This window comes from Homo sapiens, chromosome 6, assembly GCF_000001405.40.
Source record: "Homo sapiens chromosome 6, GRCh38.p14 Primary Assembly".
In the NCBI taxonomy this organism is placed as follows: domain Eukaryota; kingdom Metazoa; phylum Chordata; class Mammalia; order Primates; family Hominidae; genus Homo; species Homo sapiens.
In genome coordinates, this window is record NC_000006.12 from 61,968,094 (window position 1) to 61,990,591 (window position 22,498).

At 35.1% G+C, this 22,498-nt stretch overlaps 1 protein-coding gene across 7 annotated transcripts in view; it reads right to left on the reverse strand.

The window, feature by feature from the left end:
• Positions 1–22,498, reverse strand: part of KHDRBS2 (KH RNA binding domain containing, signal transduction associated 2) — a 743,556-nt gene that overhangs the window by 425,424 nt on the left and 295,634 nt on the right. For all 7 annotated transcript variants that reach the window (NR_146870.2, NR_146873.3, NR_146874.3 and 4 more), the window contains exon 4: positions 9,973–10,119. Coding sequence is in view for 2 of the 7 variants with exons in the window: in NM_152688.4 (NP_689901.2) it covers positions 9,973–10,119 (147 nt within the window). In the remaining 5 variants the exon portion in view is untranslated. The remainder of the gene's footprint in view (positions 1–9,972; positions 10,120–22,498) is intronic.

The window sequence follows — 22,498 nt, forward strand, 5'->3', positions numbered from 1 at the left end:
ACTGTAATTTAAATAGTATTTTCTTTTATTCCTGAGAATAACCAATGATATATACACATTACCATGCCAGTCCCTCTTTTGCTGCTGAAGTCTAGTTTCTAAATATATTTCAGTACATTGCACTATTAACCATTCTTACTGTGAGAATGACCACATTATAATGTAAAAAGGCATCATCTTGCTTCTAGATATGAGAGTATTCCTGAAAATGTTTGGCAATGCATAATTCCAACATATGATATGTTCATGCCCCTACACCTACCACAGTTCTGTCACATACTCCTTGCCTATGTTTAAAACAACCGTGAAGTGATTTCACGAATGGGTGTAATATGTTTCTGCCATGAAAATAAGAAAGTGAAAACAAGAGGTCCCCAAATAGAACAGCCTTATGAATATATTATTGAATTAATGAGTATCTAAGAATGTGCAGGAAAAATTGCACCTGTGTTACCACTAAAAGCAATATTGGCAAGTGCTTGCTGAATGGTAATAAGTCCAGAGTTGTCTATGTAACCATAAATAGGCATTATATGATTCTCTAAATACAGAGAAGCCTAATACTAATTACACAAACCATGCCACCTGCAAGTTACTTATTTAGTGCCCTTCAATACAGCATGAGAAAACTTACAGCATCTGGGCCTGCATATTTTGATAATATCCTTGATGAGGAGGCATCTGATCAGGCCCTTTTTTGTTGCCTGACCTCGGGTAGTTTAAGTAACCATGCTGGCCTTTAGTATCCTCACTGGTAAAATGAGGCTTAGATTCCACCTGTGGTTTTCAAATAACCCTCTTTGGAGCTCTGTGGCTTCTGAGAATTCTTTAGAGGATTGACAAAAATAAAAGAAAGAAAAAAATAATGAATTTCAAGTATTTTCTTCCAAACATTAATATTTATATTGCCTTAGAAACCTGTTAATTGTTTTGAGCTTAAGTATCCCTTCCAGTTCTATAATTATAGAAATGAATCCACATAGGTATTGAGATAAAAGCTTTTACATATAAGATCTTTTCTGTAATAAAGTGAACTGGGCTTAATGCAAGGGTAGCAAGTTTATCTAAATAAAGAATTTTTGGATAACAGATTATTGTTGCTCATAGAACTTAAGGTTGATAATGTAATTCTTATAAGAAGTGACCTGTGTTTTGCCACATTTTGGTGAGGACATCATCTAGGTTCTAGAGAAAAGGTTATTCTCCTTGTATCACTAACATGCACAGTTACTAGCAGATTGTTAATCATAACAATTCAGTACACTCTCTAAACAAAGAATATTATAAAATATGTTTTATGCAGTGGGTTTCTTTTGTTGTAACAATGTGTCTGGTCTAAAAAGATGTCTGTACTTTGCATGAGGACTAGTTTTAACTGAAATCTTATCCTAACTATAACTTGTCTATGTATGGGTTTAAGGAGAGTACTCATATACCCTTTATTTGTAAAACATTTCTTTTTTCACTTATAAAATCATTTTCCTCTGATTCTGAAACCTATCCTGGCTTATAAAGTGTCTTTCTAAAGCTTCAAATTCCTCAAATAAGAAGTAGATTAGGAATAAAAAGAAAAGAACAGAAGAGGATTAAAATGTAATTTATGTTGGAAAAATGCAATAATTTCATCAGATGGCATTTTCAATCCCTTCAGTATGCTATGGATAACAGACAAGACCAGTGAAATTGGGTGAAATTATTATATGAATTTGTGTATTCAAATTTTATTCTGACTTAAATAAAGATAAATACTAGTTGGAGGCCGTAGAATTCTAAATGAGAGGTGTGTTTCAAAAAAAAACATATAAAATCTCTTAAAATTTTAAGATGTTATTATTCTTGGTATAAGAGAGCAACTAAAGTTTCCATATTATAGAAGTCAAGCCCTAAAATTCTAAAGTTCAGAACAGAGAAAACGAAGAAAGGGAATGAAAGACATCTGAGAAATAGTAGCAATATAAAAGGAAACAGATTTTGGAAAGTTACAATTGACTCATTTATGTAGATAGAAATAACATAAGTGATTGTCTTCTCTCTATATATGTGTGTATCTATATATAATATCATGCAATCTTGTTGACTGATTAATTTAAAATGGTGCTCTTACCACCATCATCATATATCAATAATTCATTATTGAACTCCCATGTTACTTGATTGGGTCATTTAAAGAAAAGTTTCTTGTTTGCATGAATAAAGTAAAGAGCTGATTAGTTAAAAAAAAACTGCATATTTTCAGACTCTTTCAAATGCATTTAAAAAAAAAATCCCATCATTTTATTTCAAGTATGGGCTGATGAGAAAAGAGCAACACCTGAGCATATCTTGGTAAAATGCTTGAATTCTAAGTATAAGGTGAACTACAGCTCTCATTCAAAACGACCAAGTTAAGTACACAGAAGAAAGCTCACATGCAACACTGGATGCAGGAAGATGGTAACCTAGCATTTAGAGATTACTGAGAGAGAACACTTCACTGTGAGAACTCTGAACACATCGAAGAGTCCACTGAGCTAAAAGGAAGAAAGTCATTTGAGGATTTGCAACAGTTCTACTGGTCTATCATTCACATACCCCAACAGGGGAAAATATTTGAAATTAAGACTCAAACCAACAAGGCCAACTAGATTATTACAGGACCAGTGTTACGCCTCTCTTGCTCTATGTTCACATCACCTACCAGTCTCATTCTTCATGACCTTTTCACAAAGCTCTTGGAGCACTAAAAGCTGGAGACTGTACAAGGAGATGAATGAGTATAACATGCCCTCTTCCCACTGCTACTCCCCAAGCTGTAATTTGTTCTAAGCCTGTGGGAGGAGAAGAGTTTTGTATTAGATTTGAAATGGCAATTATAAATTGGAAATAAGTGGGCTTCTTAAAACCTCAAATGCCTAAATTGAGACTCTTCTTATAGAAGAAGGAGTAGAAAACTATGTTATTTGTTCAAGCTGAAATTAAGAATAAGAAGGGGAGAATGACAGTTGTTAAGAAAAATAAAGCCAAGTCCTATTTGTATCACATTGAGTACAGACCATCCAGTAAGCCATTTGTACTTGTATTTTAAGGCATTGTTATATATGCATCCTTACATACACTACGTAGAAAGACTGGCGTGGAGTGAATGAGAAGGGAACAACAATAACAACAAAAATACTAAAGATGAGATAGAAGTTATATTTTTGGTACAATAGGGATTCTCTGAAGTTTCCTGGCTATCTAGTTTAAATATCATCTGGAAGAATCAATACATTTTTCATTGTAGCTTGCTGAGTTTCAAAGTAGTAAAATGAGATCACTTAATCAAGGAAGGGCAATTCAAAAAAAATGTTTTATGTTATTTAGCTCTTTAAAAAGTAAGAATTAGTTGCTAGAAGTTGAAGATACATTTCAGAAATACATAATTTTGTTAAAAAATCAGTTTCAAAATATGCTATACTCTGGAGGTGTTTCTTGGTGTATTTTAAAATGTTCACTGTGAAATAGAATCTTTGGCTGTGGGTCATCAATATTTTCAAGAGGCTAATCGAACTCTCTTTCTCTCTCTCTTCCTCTCCCCCTTCCACTTTCTCTCTTTGTCTCTGTCTCAGTAGATAAATTACCCTTGTTTGTATGGTGGTGGTCTTTGCCAGCAATTGATTTTCGTTGACCCTAGGAATATCACTTTCTGTTTGATCAGTGTTTCCTGCTCTATTGTTGCCACCATCCTTCCTTAAACACATTACTATCCAATCTGGTTTCCCATTTCCAGTAGCTCTCAAATAAGTCTTTATAATCTTTATCTTTTACATTTTAGAAATAGTTTTTCTGGTTCTTAAATTCTACTAGGTCAGTGGCTCATGTACCATACATTGCTAGAATTGTGCCTGGCATATATTTGGTGTCCAGAAATATTTGTTGTGTTAATTAGTATGATCTATTCACCTATTTCCAATTCTTATCTCAGATAAAAATTATAAACCTTACTTAACAGATTCTGATTACTGGGCACCTTTTCTGCTCAATCTCCAGTAATCATGAGTCTTTTTGAGTCACATTCATCTAAAAGCTATTTGCAGGTCAGTGTTGACATATGATTATTATGCCAACTGCTTCTTTTATCTGTCTTCCAAGTTATGTCAATCAATTAGCAATGATACAGTAGTCCTGGATTTCAATAATAATAATCATGATTCTTACTATTATTCTATTCTAAGAACTAATAAGAATTTTAGTTTTGTTCTAATAGATCTGTATTATCTATTACAACTTATCAGATAAGAAGAAATACTCCATAGATGATTACAGATGTCTTCCAAGAAAATCAGACTATTATCATAGTGCTATAGCACTATAGCAATACAGGAAATATTTCTGAGCAACTAATAATTACATAAATACATGTGGCTTTGTGCTTACTGCCATTAGCTACCACACTATTAGAATATGGTTAGTTACAAGAAAGAAAAGGGAATTAATTGGTTTTGAGATAGCAGTATGAGGGAACTCTTGACAACATTTTAACAACCACAACAATGAAGGAATGAAATCTGGATTATGGATTCTGCTTCCCTCTCTGCATTGAACTTTGTTTTTAAATTCTGTAACCAATCATTCTCTTGCTTGTAGGATATTATTGCTATAAATGTTGAACTCCTGCCGTCAGCCAGTCAAAATGTATCTGCCATCTCTCACCTTTTAGGTCTTGCCATTTATCAGTTACTTTTGCTGGCTGGTGGGGTTTAGTTGAATACATTGTTTTCCCTATATATTCACCTGCATAAAAGACTGATCAGCCAGGTGTGGCGGCTGATGCCTGTCATCCCAGCATTTTAGGAGGCTGAGGCTGGTGGGTCATCTGAGGTCAGGAGTTCAAGACCAGACTAGCCCACATGGCAAAAGCCCATCTCTACTAAAAATACAGAAATAAGCTGTGTGTGGTGGCATGCACCTGTAATCCCAGCTAAGGCAGGAGAATCACTTGAACCTGGGAGGAGAAGGTTGCAGTGAGCTGAGATCACACCACTGCATTCCAGCCTGGGTGAGAGAGTGAGACTCTGTCTCAAAAAGAAAAATAAAAAATAGACTGATCAAATTTTCACTTTTTCTCAAATTATAGCATCAATTTCAGGGACACATTTTTATATTTATCATCTTCTAAAACTTTATAACTTTTTTTTAGTGTATGAAAGTTTAGATCTATCTACTAGACTGAAAATTCTGCTTCCCTTTTCTATTTTTCCTTACATTTACTTACTTACCAGTATGATTGCTGTTAGTAATCAGTGACATTTTCCAATTTCAGAACTAGGATTACAGTGTTTGAAGAAGGGAGGCAAGAATATCCTCCATTTGCTTTTGCCATAAAGAAGAAAAAGGTTTTACTTTTCCTCCATAGTCAGGCTCTTGGTAGGTTTCCCAGATGTGTTACCAGTATCTCAAACTTGAAATGAGATAATACACCCTAATTCCCCCATTTCAAGAATCACAGCTATCACTAAGACACACATCCAACTAATGCAGGAAAGAAAGAAACTGGAATGATCTATATTTTTTCTCTCTTAAATTGACTTAAAATCTTATATATGAGTCTAGTAACAGTTACACACATACACACACACGTTTACATAAGTATATAAGTTATATATATATCTTTCCTTTAAATTATATAGACCTCTAGTGATAATCATTAAAGACTTAAGCCTGGCATGGCAAAATTTTTCAAGTTCTGTCAACTCTGCTAATATTGTAACGCTGTGCAGCATGCTGTGTTGGGAAGATTCTGGGCCATGATGGGCCAAGGTAGAAAAGAGAATCACAATCTCTTAACTATGTCAATAGGATAGTTATTGGAAGATGTAAAAAAGCAATCTATTTGTTATCCATGACCTAATCAAATTATCTGTGCAAAAACTCCTCCTTTCATCTTTTTAATGAAAGAATATATAAACACACAATGAGCAGAATTTCATGCAACACTTCATAATTTCTAATTATGAGACAATGTACTATGTTTCAGTCATGAGTTAATAATTAAGCATTAGTAAAACTTATTAATTCAATTGAATTGAAGGTGAGAATAAGCCAATTTAGGAAAATAAAACAGTGTTATCATTTTGAAGTAACATACTGAGAAGGATTAGAAATAGGAAAGTTGTATTCATGGTCCTAGGTAGTACTATTCACAAACTATGGTGTAAATGTTACCCCCTAGAGTTGCACAAGACACAACTCTCACAACCATATGTGGCAATCCTGGTGTCTGAACTATGAAAGAAAGAAATAGTATAAAATACAATAGTGGCAATACTTGCTTACCTCTTTATAGAATATAAAGAGAGGAGTGCATCAACATTATTGAAGCATATATTAGTTTAGGATTTTATATCCTGTTTCTCGTTACTCATCAAAAAATTTATTTTACAATTCTAACCTGTATTTTTAAGATAAATAATCAAATATAATGAAAACTTTAATACTTCACCTCCCAAAAGTACTAGAGATTTAAAATTAGCCATGTTCAAATTAAAGGTGTTTTATTGACCCTTGACACTCTATTTGTTTTGAAAAGACTATAGTGTGTCTGGGTGTGGTGGCTCACATCTGTAATCCCAGCACTTTGGGAGGCTGAGGCGGGTGGATCATGAGGTCAAGATTTCGAGACCAGCCTGACCAATGTGGTGAAACCTCATCTCTACTAAAAATACAAAAATTAGCTGGGCATGGTAACATGTGCCTGTAATCTCAGCTACTCGGGAGGCTGAGGCAGGAGAATCGCTTGAACCCAGGAGGTGGAGGTTGCAGTGAGCCGAGATCGTTCCATTGCATTCCAGCCTGGGCGACATAGCAAGACTCCATCTTAAAAAATAAATAAATAAATAAATAAATAAATAAATAAATAAATAAATAAATAAAAGACTACAGTGTGTGAATGGAGACCAACAGGCTGGAAATTTTCCCCAAGGCAATAATAATTCTTTTGTCTTCAGCAATCCACTTAAAATGCTGAAAGTGGGTTGTTTACCAGCATCCTAAAGCATTCAGACAGCTCACAAGGAGTTCTATGTTCTAAAGTTGGTTATCTTAGACAATTACAACCCTTGGACATACAGCAGGTTGAGTAAATTCTGGATAACATACAAGAGGTAGAAGAAGGTAAAAAGTCCTACCATGGAAAATTAATCCCTTTCGCAGAAGAACAAGATGTCAGTGGAATTCCAGAGTCTTGCCCTATATAAGCCTTCTTTGTTGTTCTAGCATGTCTCTTACTGCCTAGAATTCTTCATCTACAATGTTTGCAAATGTTAATGTATAGAAACTTTAGCATTTCTGTGGGCTTTAATATAAAATATCAAAAGAACCTTAGATCACCAAGTCATTTCATAGAATAAAAAAAATTGGCAGTTCATTTTTGCCCCTTGCGGTTCTCCCATTCTTTGCTTTCTGCTGATGCAAGCAAGGCAAATGGGATAAATTTATGACTTTCATTGATGGGAAAATTTACTAATAAAACATTGAGAGACATATCAGAATAGCCCTCATGACATTCATATTCTAGCACAGAAATCAAAGATAAGCAAGATGCACACACACACACACACACACACACACAGAGAGATATAAAACATCTGAAGGTGATAGGAGCTATGCGGAAAATAAGTGAAAAGGACTAAGGTATAATGGAACAATGAATTATAATGTTAAATAGAGTGGTTAGTGATACTACGTTCAAAATATAGTAAGACTGCATGATAGAAGGTAAAGGGGGCAGCTACTTTAGATTGTGTGGTTGGGGAAGAGTTTTCTACAAAGCTAACCTTTAAGCTGACAGCTGGATGCTAAGGAAACAGCCATGTCAACACTTTGGAGAATAATCTTCAAAGGTGCTTAATGAGCAGTGAGCCTGGACTGTTGAATGAACAAAAACCAGCATGTCTGAAGTGCAATGAATAAGAAGTTAGACATACAAGATGAAATCATAGAGGTAGGCATGGCCAGGTCACACCAGCCATGGTAATATTTTCATTCTTCATCTGAGTCTGTATATATGGTGCATCTTGACTGTGGGGTATTAGCCCCCAAATTTTACCTGGATAGCTATTTTATCCCCTGCACCACTCCTCATGCCTATAGGCAGCCATTCCATCATTCCATCAGTCAAACTATCAAGTAAATATTTATTGTGCTAGGCATGATGCTAAGATGGGGATACAGTGTTGGCCAAAGGAGATACTGCCAGCCAGCCCTATCCTCACACAGTATATATTTCAGTGGAGAGTATATAAATGAAATACTTACAAGAATCATTCTGTCTAGGAAGTGAGCAAGCGAGATGTATTACTGACATTTCTAATAGAGGAGTGTTAACTTAGCCTACAGAGTAGGATATACATATATGTATATATACATATGTGTGTAGATATACATATCAATTAATAACTATGCAGAAAATCATCCCTTGATATTTCTATTATATTTTCTACAATATATTTAAACCATCCATTAATATTCTGCTTTATAATTTTCTAAGTCCTTTCATATGCATTACCCCATTTAATATTCATCATAACTGTGATAGAGGCTGGTCAATGATAATTATCTTCATTTTAAAGATGAATAAACTGAAGCTTTGAGAATTTAAATGACTTGAAGTCATGTAGTATGTTAGTAATGTACAGTCCTAGTCTCATTTTTATACTATGTATGCTATCAGAGGTCTGGTCTGAACTAAATACAGTAAAATTCCTTACTCAATACAGCACTAGGCATTTAGTTTGGAGGCAAAAGGAAAATAAAACGTAGCATCCTCATTCTTAATAAATATGAGATCTAGTTAGGGAGATGTTCAGATGAGCATCAGATAATAAATTGTGCAGAAATTCAGTGTGCATATGAAGTTAAGAATAATCAGAACGGTCTGCAATTATTCTATAACCTTGCCTTGACAGAAATTAATTTTTAAACTGGACATATAAATAGATTATGTGACTAGATCTTGATGCTTTTAAATTCTTGAAATTCTCTGGTTTTATTTTTCTTTTCCCATTCTTAAAATCACTGCCAATCAATGAACCTTACCCACCATTTCCTCTTAGTTTATTGCTTATTTAGAAATCTGCAGTTTCTTCATTGTGCAGATCTATCTTAGCTGTGTGCTTTCTCTGTTGAAGACTCTGCCAGACGCTCCAGAAAACTGTACTCAGCATTCTCTTCTAATTGTCTTATTCCCAGCTCCAAGCCTGATGCCAAGATTTCTATTTGAATGACTTCTTCCTAGAATGCTAAATTGTCAATCTTTAGGAAAGCTTCATTCATTTAACCTTCCTCTATTTCTTAGAAAATCAGTAGAGAATTCTACCAGTATGCAACCCTGAATTTGTTGCCCTACTAAATAAACATTCTCTGTTGCCCTCACATGGTAGAGTGAGTTTATTTTTCCAATTTTTGTTTAAAGTCAACAGATGTCTGGCTTTACTAATATTGATGATTTTATATTATGTTTTATTATGAGGCAACACCTGGCATGCCATCACATGAAAATACATTGGATATGTTTAAATGATATCATTGTCTTATTTCAAATTATTACATATCTGATCTCTTTCCCTTTCCACTACACCAGGAAATAATTTCCCTATTAATTGTAAATTGCAAACGATAAACTTTCAAGTGATGGAGATGCAATAAAAAAGTATACAACTTCAATTATATATTTCTGTTTATAAACATGTCTTTTTCTTCATGACTATGAACCGATGCATGGCATGACACCAGCATGACAAACATTGCTATGGAACCATCACTATATGGCAACACGCCAGGTCCTGTGTTAAGTGGTTTTGGTATCCTATTTTATTTTTTAGCTTTGTATCGACCTGTGGATAGATCATTGGTTTGCAATATGAGTTTCCTTTTAAAAAGTCAGTGAAGATCAAAGGTGCATTTTAAAATAGAAGCTGATAAGAAACATCTTTGTAAAAAATGAAAGACACTTACAGGAACCAGGAATTTTTTAATCTCTTCCAATGCATGACTCATACGTGAATAAGCTTCCCCAGGTGGAGCAAACACTTCAATTAATACATGAAGCTCATCACTCAAGTGGGCATATTTGGCTTCCCCACTCTTCCTTAGTTCTTCTTCCTGTGAAAAAGGTTATTTTTAGAAATACAAATCCACTCATTTTACATTGATTTAACATTTACTGAGAATATGACAAAGGTGTATAATTTAAGCAAATTTTCCATAATTTGCTTCCATAATTTTCTCAAAGAAACCCTTTGAGAAATAAAAATCTGCTACAAGCCATTTAAAGATTTTAAAATCATTTTTGAGTGTTTGAATGATTTTAAAAACCGGCATAATTATCATCTACAACAGATTTTAATCAGCTAAATGAAAATGCTAAACCCCTGAAAATAAGTCACAGAATTGCCATTAACACTGTAGTCTACATGACTACATTCTGGAAGGGAAGAATTGTTTTGTGCTTGATGTTCAGCATTTTGCAGATGGTAAGTGAAAGATTATCACTGTGTTCTTTAAGAAAACTAAAACTTTCTAGCCACTTTTTGAGAAGTTAGGAAGGTTACTTGATTGTGATAAAAAGTAGGGTAACTATACAAGTCAAGGCTTATTTCCAAGTCTATGTTCTCACCAGCCCAGATTATCAGCAAGCCTTATACCCACAGCTTTTCTATCGCTTGCTGCCTTTATTTATTTATTTTGTCAACAGGGGAATATTAAAGGGTGGTTTAACATTTTGCTGGCATTGATTCTGCATGGGCTACGTAACTTCTGGTTAACCAATAATACTAGGTTGGTGGAAAAGCAATTGCCATTAATTGCTTTTAATGGCATTATTTTTAATGGCAAAAACCATAATTGCTTTTGCACCAACCTAATACATTTCTATTGGAAGAGACTTTTCCTAGTATTGTGCCCAAGCCATTATTGAAACCTGGTTAATTCAGTGCAGGTGTACAGCAAATCAATATGTGATCCATATATTTTGTTAATGTATACTAAGTATTTTATACATATCATCTCTAATCAAAATCATTTTGTACATATTCACATGTTTCAGATTATGAAACTGTGGTTAGAAGACTTAAATAGCTTCAGCCAATTCAGATCCAGACCCAGTTCATTTTGCAAGCAGATTTGCATTTTTTAGAATTTCAAGATGTAAAATGTGGCAGAAAAGTTAACATAAATAACATTAATTATGTTTTATCTTTCTTGTCCCTCACAGAAACAACCAGCAGCTACTTCACTAAATTTCAAAAAATAAAACTAAACATGTAATTCTTGGTTTTATGTAGAGATTAGAGACATGACATGAATAGACCTTACCTGGATTTAAAAAAGAACAAATTTGCTGTTGATGTCATGTGAGTTAACTGTATAACCCATGTTAATGTGAGTGTTTACTTGATTAGAAATGCTCATTGTTTTAAAAGATGAAGGATCCATGAAAGAGATGGGAAGGCATCCCTGCGTTCCTGTATATATACCCTTCACCTACTCAAATACTTCTGATAATAGCACCTTGCAGCCTGGAAATCCATTCTTCACTTCTCTAAGGATACTTTCAAACTCTACCTAGGACTTTTCAACTTGAGAGCTTTTCTTAGTGCCCAATTATCAGTTTGGGGAGGAGAGGCAACACTACACTGAATGAAAATACTCTCATGAGGTGTAGTAAAGATTTCTTTTCTCTTTGGGTCCTGCTAAGGTGCAAGCTGCTTGTTTATTCTGGGGCCAGCTGGTTTGGGCATACATGCTGAAATAATTAAATCAGAGATTTCTTGACACTGTCCCTTTCTATTACTTCCTATGTTGATTCCCATTCAGTTATTTTTGTGTTACCCTCTCCTTACACCTAGAATTTCCTAGGGAACTGAAATAATTTTCAACTCTATTAAGCAAAATAATATGGTCATTGAGTGACATTTCCTAGAGTGACATGACTAGCTCATTATGGAGCTCAATAAAATAAAGAAAACAGCAGTTAATTGACCCTACTCTCCTTGGAAGATCATCATTTGCTACTTGGGATGACCCTTCGGAATCACATCTTCCATAAGCAGTGTATCCAATAATTTTATAAACCCATACTGCTCTTTGTAGGAAGATTATTGTGCAGGAAAGTGATCTAAGTTGTCAAGTTAAGAATAGTAGCTACCTGCTTTTTGTATTTTTATGAAGAATATATCATAAATTGTTCATAATCTAATGTGGAACACATATTCCTCCTTTGTTCTACTCCAGGTGCTGGTATTTTGCCCTTCTAGATCCTCCTGTGAGGCATCACACCATCACCACCACCACCAGAAAAATAACTCCTGAAAGTTTAGAATGTTAGTGGGAAATAACTCTTATATTGCATTGATATGAAAAATTGTAGAAGTTTTATAGAAAATAAGTCTTATGTTGCCTGGTCAAAGCTGGCTACATTTGAATGGGTTTCTTTATAAAAATTTGTTTTAATAGACTTGTGATCTGAGGGATCAAAATTGATGCCCATTTATCAAACAAGATGGGCCTAAGGCTAAGGAAACAAAAGTTACTTAGGAGTCCAGTGTTCAGGACCCAGATGGCATGGCAAATTTCCAAATTCCTACCACTATAAGGAAAACTACACCTCAGCTAAACTTCTTAACAACAGAGCTCTCAGGCTGATTTACAGCCCAAACCACCACAACTCTGCAGGACAGAGGACTGACTTTACAAATATTCTTTTCTGATTAGCTATTGCAGAACTTAAGCCAGTTTCAGCCAGCTTATAGGGACTGCACACAAACTGTCTTTGTGTACTACAGTTCACCTTTTGACATAAAGAGCTGAATTCCATGTCATTTCAATGCTAAAACCTCACGTCAGAGTGAACATGGGATGTATGTTATACACATGTTTACCCACTGGGCATGCCCTCTCATAAATACATATAGCTTTTCCCCCAAAACATGCTGAATATGTATAATACAGGCCCTGTGAGGCATAAGACCTAACCTGTCATTCCCTTCTTTAAATAAAGAGCACCTTAGATCCACACTGGAGAGTTTCTCTTCTCAATTTGCAAGTTAATGCCAATAAAGCTCTCCTTTCTACTATTTAGCCATCCTGGTGGTCTTTCAAATGACAAAATGTATATCAAAAGATTACTGATTCAAAACTAGAGTTTGGTTTTTCTCTGTTAAAACAACAAAGTTTTCTTGGATTACTGGTCTGCCCTTAATAAGAAATTATAAAACTTTTTCTTTACCTGTTAAGTAATCTGCCTAGAAAACATTCTGTGTCTTATCAGAATAATTTCCTACGCTTTATGTTAACATTTATCACATCTTTAATTATTTATGAGAACCAAGTCCTCTCACTTAAAAAAAAAAAACTGAGTTTTTTTTTAATTTATTTGTTTGTTGTTGCTGTTTTTCTCTCTGCAAGTATGTTACCTCGTATACTTACTTTTGAAATCTTGTATTGTCACTTAAGTAAGTGGATAACTAAAGTATTGTTTCACAGTGACCTGTGATCCTATTTAATGCAGTGTTCAATCTTTTGACATTTTTGACAATTTGCAAAAATCAAATTCTAAATGAAGTCTGCTTGACCCCAAACCAACTTAGATTTTTCAGAGAGCCCCTGGAAAATCTCTAAGGATTCATGTTCTCTCACTTTGTAAAAAGAGAGATGTTAAACTAATTAGGTTCATTTGATATGTTAAAATGTATGGGAAGCATTGTCAAATAAGAAGAGTTACTTAAATTTCCTTATATTTGTATGGGTAGATTTTATTGTTTCAGAAATTTTATGAAGTTCCTAGGAATTGGTCAATAACCTTGATCTCCCTGATACGTCCTGGTATAATGTAGTCAGTCATAATTCTATGATTTAAATTCCATAAATTAAATATTGTATTCCACAGAAACCACCAAAATCCTTTGTCAACTGTGTTATAATGAATTCACGTCAGATATTTAACATAGCCATTTTAAGCTTTTTGTCATTCATAGGTAGTTACTATTAATACCAAACTAAGAAGCAAATGCTCCACTCAGATGTGGCTGATGACAACAGTGTCAAATTCTTGTGAATTATGTAATTTACCCTAGGTAATGTGATGAAGAAATAAAGTCACTGCAAATATATATATATATCTTACTCTGATGCTTTCCTGAAAGCTCTTGGAAGCAGCTACTGGATAGCATGCTTTGTCTTTACAAAACGGGATTCCCTCTGAGACCCACGGAAATGACTATAACAGGTACTCTGGGATGCAACCTTCTGATGTCATTATTTAAATACTTTTAAGAAAAGGGGCCGGGCGCGGTGGCTCACGCCTGTAATCTCAGCGCTTTGGGAGGCTGAGGAGGGCGGATCACGAGGTCAGGAGATCGAGACCATCCTGGCTAACACAGTGAAACCCCGTCTCTACTAAAAATACAAAAAATTAGCCGGGCGTGGTGGCGCATGCCTGTAATCCCAGCTACTCCGGAGGCTGAGGCGAGAGAATGGCATGAACCCGGAAGGTGGAGCTTCCAGTGAGCCGAGATGGTGCCACTGCACTCCAGCCTGGGCGACAGAGCCAAACTCTGTCTCAAAAAAAAAAAAAAAAAAGAACATACCACAAGACTGATTAAAGATTTTCAGAACTATAGTGGAGACACTGAGGAGTTCATAAGACCCCTCATAAAGTTAAGCAGAACAAGAAGTAATTATATGGGCCTCAGTAGACTAAGAAAGGGTGATTATAATTTGTTATGGCCTTTGTTTGAAACAGTACTGGTTCTTTAATGTCCTGTTTTCTGAATTTAAGGAACTCTTTTCTCTTTTCTCAAGCTATTTATACTTCATACCATTTGAATTGATGATACTTTTATAAACAGAAATGAAATATTTATCTTTTTCTCTTTGTCTAATTCCTTCAGAATTGGGAAACTCTTATTGAATATTCTTATTTTCATGGCAATACAGTTGCATAAGTCCAATAGGAATGGGAATCTGTTCTCAAAAAAAAAATTGGAAACTCGTTATATAACCATAGTTTGGACTGGAATGTCATATTTGAGAATTATGTGCATCAAATCAGATGTGATCAGGCAATTTTGAGTAATTAAAGTTTTTTTCATTTTCTTTCTTTCTTTCTTTCTTTCTTTCTTTCTTTCTTTTTTTTTTTTTTTTTTTTTATAGTGACTAAGTCTCACTATGTTGCCCAGGCTGGTCTCAGACTCCTGGGCTCAAGTGATCCCCTAACTCTGGCTCCCAGAGTGCTGGGATTATAAGCGTGAGCTACCACACATGGCCATAACTAAGACTGACTTTATGGAGCCACTGCTTACAAAGGCCTCTTGGGAAAACTGGCCTGATACTTAGATTACAGGGTTTCTAGCCTTTAAGATAAGTAACAAAGGTCACTTCTGGATGGGCTTAGGATACTTGGGATAGTCTGGGGACCTCGAGAAGAGAGGAATTCACCAAAATTTATAGGTACTGCAGGTGAAGTAGGGTGGTTGGTTCTTGGCTTGGTTTCATAGCATTGAGAAGGCTTTTAAAAGTCCAATCTGAGATTCCCTATGTTAATAAAAAACTCCAGCAGAGGAAACTTAAAAAGATCCATGTGGTCAGTTATCATTATTGCTTCACTTAGGTTATAATCAAGCCAAATCAAATGTAATCAGGACTTGTTTTGCAAACAAGAATAATTTTCCTTTGATTATCATTGATTAAAAATGAGGTGTACTGTAAAGACAAGGTTTATGTTTCAATGGAAAACTATAAACCACTCTTACGGGTTATTAGATTCTAATCTTTATTGTTTTTTAGCTACTTGCATCTCTTTGTAAACTGGGTCCTACCATCTTCTTAATTTTGTCATCAATTAACAGTTCCACTTTTTCTACCACCCTCCTCACTTGGAATCACTGAGAACTAAAACTGCCACTTTCCCAGAATCCTGTAACAAAAGCTTTCTGACTTCACATAAACACCAAAAGATTTATTGCTGAAACAGTTTGGGCCACTCAAAAATTTCACCAGAACACTTGCACCTTCCATGCTGTGCTCCAGAAAATAACCATGACTACAGCCATACCACTTCTGTTCTCACTTAAGATACTTAGAGCTCAACATCAAGAACTCTTCTCAGTGGGCTATACTATGAAGTTAAAAACTGGATTTATCCTATGCTTCAATCATTAATCTTTTTGTTTCCCTTTTACAGATATCATATTTTATAATTTTTAACCTGAAATTTCTCCCCAGAGCAATCAACCTAGCTTTTTTTGTGAAATTTCTAGCGAAGTTTCAGATGGGAAAAATGTGGAGACCCATTTGGAGCCCCAGGATTCACACAAATGTTATTTTAAAGTGAAAACAGTTGAGCTAAAGAAGCAGAAAAAAAATACGTTCTGAACATCCATAATCTTACTGAAACAGAGATTTACCAAAGTCAGCTACCACAACCCCTGACTCTGGAGTGGTCTCCAATCAGGGAGGCTCTGGACTTAGTCACTAGGACATTCCAAAATATTGTGTAAACAAGGCTTATCAGAACCATCCATTCATTAAAATCTGAAAACTTCCCTTCCCTAAAGTTTGGTATATAAACTTTATCTCTGGCTATTCAGTGAACTACTCAGTACTGAGCAACTGCCACATGACTGTGTAAGTAAATTTTGTCTTTTCCTCTGTTAATCTATTGTCTGTTAACTTGCAAGCCTCCAACTGGACCCAAGTTAGAATAGGAAGTGTTTCTGCCAACATTAAATATGCATATTCAGTTATAATTCATTTTAAGATAAAAAAACTACGCAATTAAAGTATGTACCACATTACATATTTGTTCTGCAATTATAAGCACAAACACAGGCTATGTAAATAAACAAACAATAGAAGGTTGTAATCCAAAAGACTATTGTGGTGCTCATAAAAAAATCAGGATAAGTAACCTTTTTGACAATAGCCTCTCCCACCTAGTCCCTCCTGTGGCTTGTTACCTTACTGGATAACGGTATGGGCAGTTGCATAGGTTCTGATTAGGATATTTCAACTTTAGGAGAATCAATAGCTGTATAAATATAATGCTTACTCTTTTTTGCCCTGAAATCAACCTTATGAATCTTTACAGTCTAAAGAGAAAGGTCCTAAAGACTGGAAACTTTTTAGTAATATGGGTTAGCCTCAACTGCCATGATTTTAAAGACCGAAATATTTTATTTATTTATTTATTTTACTTCTCTCTGTGTATTAAAACAAATATTTCAAAACTCAAATTTCAATATTTCAAATATCAACCTTTTCTGTAGAGATTCTTATATAGCCCAGGGTCCAGCAAGAGCCTTGACCAGAAGTTAAAAGCTGCCTTAGAACTACTAACTGTGGGAAACTGCAGCAAGTAGTTTGCTCTTGTGGCTCCCAGTTACTTCGTACGCAAAAGAAGAGGAGGTAACCCAAGAGGAAGTTTTCAAATGTTGTTATAGGGAGTCACAGGGTTTCCAGGAGACACTTCAGGGACCACCTTGGATCAAAATGATGATCCTTTCCTATGCATTCAATGACATCAGCTCAAGTTGGACCTCGTTATATGTAAAAATTTCAGGTGAGACGATAATGTTCTGCAAGTCCAATAAACCAAAAACAATAGGCAACATTAGACATGATGATGTCTCAGGTTTCTCACAGCTTCAGTAGTTTATGACTTAGCACGTGACTTCCCTTCACGGGCATCCTGATACTGAGAACTTCAGTATTAGAAAATACTACGATCCAAATACAGTGTCTTCTATGATACATGACCAGCAAAATTAAAAATAAATGACCGCTTTTATGTTATTATTTAAGCATCTACAGTAAAGACTTTCCTGCATATTTTATGTACATATGTAATTTAATGTTTATAGAACCATAGAAACATTGGGTGGATTTTGGAAGCACTAGAGTATAGTGGTTTAAAAAAAAAATGAATTTTGGAGTCAGATAAATCTAGATTTGAATTAATAGCTCTGATATTTATTATCTGTGATGTTTGAAGAAAGTTGTTTAATTTTTAAGCTTTAGCTTCTTAATCTGTAAAACAGGGAGACTGCGGACCTCTCATGAAAAGATGAAATGAGGTAACATACATAAATTGCAAGTACAGTGCCTGGCATACTATAAACACTCAAATAAGGTTAAAGTTTTTCTCTCAGAGAAGCTAAGTAACTTGGTTGTGGTTATTCAGTTAGTAAGGGGTTTGAAAATGGTCTGCCCTATGCCAAAGCCACACTTTTATGTTAATGAATGTTTATTCTGTACATTAAATTCACTTGAAATAATATAATTACAAAAGTTTCCAAATTAAATTTAAATAAAATTAAATGTTACTTTGGTATAAGGAAGAGTGTATCAGTTTGATATTGGTTTAGTTATTAAGTTAATTTAAATGTATAACTTTAAGGAAATGTATACTTGAAAATTATTCTAAACCAAAAAGCTCAAGTGTTTTAGAAAGATAAGGAAAAATAAACATCACTATATTTCTTAGTCTGGTCAGGCTGCTACTGCAAAATACCATAAACTGAGTGGCTTAATCAACAGACATTTATTTTTCATAGTTCTGAAGGTTGGGAAATCAAAATCAACATGCCGGCAGATTCCGTTCCTGGTGAGGGCTCTTTTCCTGGCTTGCAGAAAGGTCACCTTATTTTTGTATCCTCCCACACATGGCAGAAGAGAGAGGGCTCTGGCACCTCTTCTTACAAGGGTACTAATCCCACCATGGGGGACTCCACCCTTATGATCTCATCTAAACTTAATTACCCCCAAAGGCCCCACTTCCAAATACCATCATATCAGGGATCAAGGATTCAACATATGAATTTTGAGGGACACAAACATTTAGTCCACAGAATCATGTGTACTTTCTTGAATTTGTACCTTTCAAATAGACTGTAAGGTTATTATCTACAATATGTTACATGGATCACATAACATGGACCACATATCATGGCAATTAACAGTACAGTTTCTATTTCATGATGGCCAGAATTAAAAATTCCAGCTTTTCCACTTAATACTGTGTAAACTTGGGCAAGTGACTCCACTATTTCAGCCTTCGAATTCCTCACCTATAAAATGTGGGTAGTTATAACAGTAGTAACACAAGACCAAATCCAATATTACTCTTACTAAACAGTATTATAGGAAGTATCTTAGTTTTAATACAATATGCTAAATTATATATGAACCAAAAGAGTTAAACTTCTAAAATCCCAATTAATTTCACAGGAGTAGCTCTTCCAATGACAGGAATAAACCAAATAATAAAAAAGTTGAAAACACATGATATACTGTATATCCAAGTTTTGTACTTTTATTTTTGCTTTAGCAATTATTATTGCCATATTTTACCTCAGAGTTATAATTTACTAAAGTGCTTTTTGCAGGCTTTTTCTTCTTGATGCCCCAGGGAACTTTCTTTTAACATAAATCTTCTTCAGAAATAAATAAATCTATTGTCTGCACAGCTTTTACCATCAAGAAATTCAAATAAACACACATTTATTATTTATACCTTAGCCTGAATGGGATTGTTCTGAATCCCCAATTTAAAGACATTTTTAAATGGGCATATGTGGAAATTCTTTCCTGACAGAACAAATTAGTTGCCCCAAATTTACACACACAAAGGGTTTTTGTACAAATGGATGCATATAAGTGCATGATAGAGAAGCAATAGCTAGATCCTGAAGAGCACCTCTAACTCTTGTCACTTCACTTCCAAATGCCTGCTATCTTTGAATTAAATGTGGCAAGAATTCTTCCAGGATCAGGCCATCCATACTCCAAATGGTCATCTATGAGAAGGGAAATCTTCACAATTGCACATCCACACAATACTCACTAGATTCATGAAGGGCACAGAAAGTACTACAAGCATCAAAAGAACCAAGGGTGATATTTTAAAAAGTAGCCCAGGATTCTGAACACAGAGATGTGGTTAGTGCCAAACACAAGTGATTAGTGCCAAACACAAGTTTACTTATCTTGGGTTTGTAGTCTGTGGGTTTACTAGAGAATAGGAACATTAAATCATATACTCTAGGCTATATCAAGGATGGTTAATTCCTCAAATAATAAAAGGGTGTTGTCCAAACAGTGAAAGAGTGTCTTGATATAGTAAGAGCAGCTGTTTAATCAAGGAAAAGAAGGCAATTAATCTTGACCAAATGGAATCTACAGAAAAGTTGATAGGTCTTCACTCTGAATTAACATATGAGAGACTTGTTTTCCTACATTTCAGTTGCCTATTAATTAGTGTACTCACAAATACTTGTTTCATGGAACAGGGCAATATGGGAGTACACTTATCTCAATGATCTTCTCTTATCTTTTCTTTCTCAATTCCAACTGGATACAAATGGGCTTTCTTAGGGTTCAGTAGAAGAAACTGGTCTAGGACTACAGAGGTGCTTGGAAAACAGTGTTGGAATCTAATGACAAGACACAGAAAATGGGGAGTAGGTGCTGGGAAGAAACTGGCACTCAGAGATCTCTGGACTCGCAGAGGAAGTGCATGTAAGTGTACTAGTTCTCCCTGACCTCAAAAGCTGAGAAGAAACCAAGAAACTGGTTGAGTACACTTTGCCTTTGAGATTGGGAAAAATCAGAAAAACCAAAGAGCAAAGGTATCAGGGCATCACAGGCCCACAAGGGTGAGAATCACTTTGGTTTCCACTGTTTGAAGGATTCTAACACTATTGCATTTCAACAACCATATCTACACTAACAAATAAAAACAGCAACCAATACTAGCAGTCATAAAGAGGAAAAGCAGAAAGAACATTTGAACACATGCCATTTAAACACATGTCAACTGAATTGCTGGAAAAAAGATGAACGCTTGAATAAAAACATTTTTAAAAGAAGTTGAGGAGATGAAATTCAGACACAAAATGTATGGTGTTAAAAGACATGATTTACCATGTACAGACAAATACAAATTAAAAATCAGAGGCTAGATTCTCCCTGTTGAAAATAGATTTCCCCACTCTCCTTTTTCTCAGAGCATTTATGTTAGAAAACTTGTAATTATAAGTGCTTTCTCCTCCTTTTGAAATATATATAAACCCTTTTGGAGACTAGATAGGCCTTTTGTCAGGTTTATGACCTAGTAATATCTTTCCCAAGGGCTCAGGAAACCATCTCTTTAAAATGTAAACATCATTGGAGATAGCATCCCTGTCTCCCAGTTTCTGTCAAAGGATAGGAGCCTAACTTTGTGGATGTCTTGTTCCAAGTTGCAAAACTACTTCCTGTCATAAAGACACAAGAAGTTTGTTTGTTTTTCCTTTGGATAAAGCTAATTAGCTAATTCAGATGCTCACCCCAATTGCCAGGTAAGGTTAGGGTGAATTATGTTTGACAAATGGTGCTGTCACATTCTCTTACTTGGGCCTACTTATTGTTTTCCTTGAAAACACATATGTAATGGGTTGTATCTGCTTGGCTATAAAAAAATGTGAGATTTCTTTCTGTCTTTGCAATCTCTTAGTAGATTGCCTGTGATGTGCATCACATTCAGGTTTAATGCTCATTCACTAATAAAAGTGTTCACTTTCTCTGGAAAGAGGAGAGTTTTTCTGGGTTGGGAGAAGATTTTTGTTTTTAATTGTATTTCTTCATCACCCACTGAAACAAATGGTAACAGATGCTGTTGATACTCTGCTCATATCCCCCTGCCCTACTATCTCCATGCAATCAGCATTGATTTGTCTTTTTGCCTGAGGGCTTGCTCTGGCCTCTGGATAGCTCCACCTTAGCATAGAACAGGGAAGAAATCTGCTTTCCAAGTCTCAACTAGTGACTGGGGTGGGGTTGGGGAGGAATTGGTGTATAAATAGGCAAGGTTGTTCAACCCTTGCATGGGCTAACTTGTATGTTCTTTCTCAGAGTTCTGTGGTGGAATAAGCACCAGTTGCCCACAGTTTTAACTTGCTTGAGAATGCACCCTCTCTGGGTTCCATTCATTTTCTTATTTTACTTCCTCATGCCTCTACGTGGACCACCAGAGATCTTCCAAACAAACCTCACATAAGTAAATTTTGCCACAGTCCCTCTGCTGGGGGAACTCAATCCAAGGTAATTCAGTAGATTAAATTAAGAAGAAGATAGCTGAAATCAGATTTTTTGTCCAGAAAGTTTAAATGCAAAATAAAGCCATGAATTAACAAAGATGATGAAGGAAACATTAGGGAAGTGGAAGGTAGACCCAGGAAAGTTAATATGGCAATAATAATTTTTTAAAAATCTACTTATATAAATTCTACAAAGAGAGATAAGAAATAACAAAAATGAATAATGAATGTGATGATTACAATGGCTTATTTAATTCCACACTTAATTGGAAAGACTCACAGGGTATATCACATTAAAATCTCTGAACATGAAGTAAAACAAAAACAAACAAGAGCTCATACAAGCTTCTAGAAGTAGAACTACAAAGAAAAAAATCAACTGGCATTGAACTTCTCATCTATGAAAA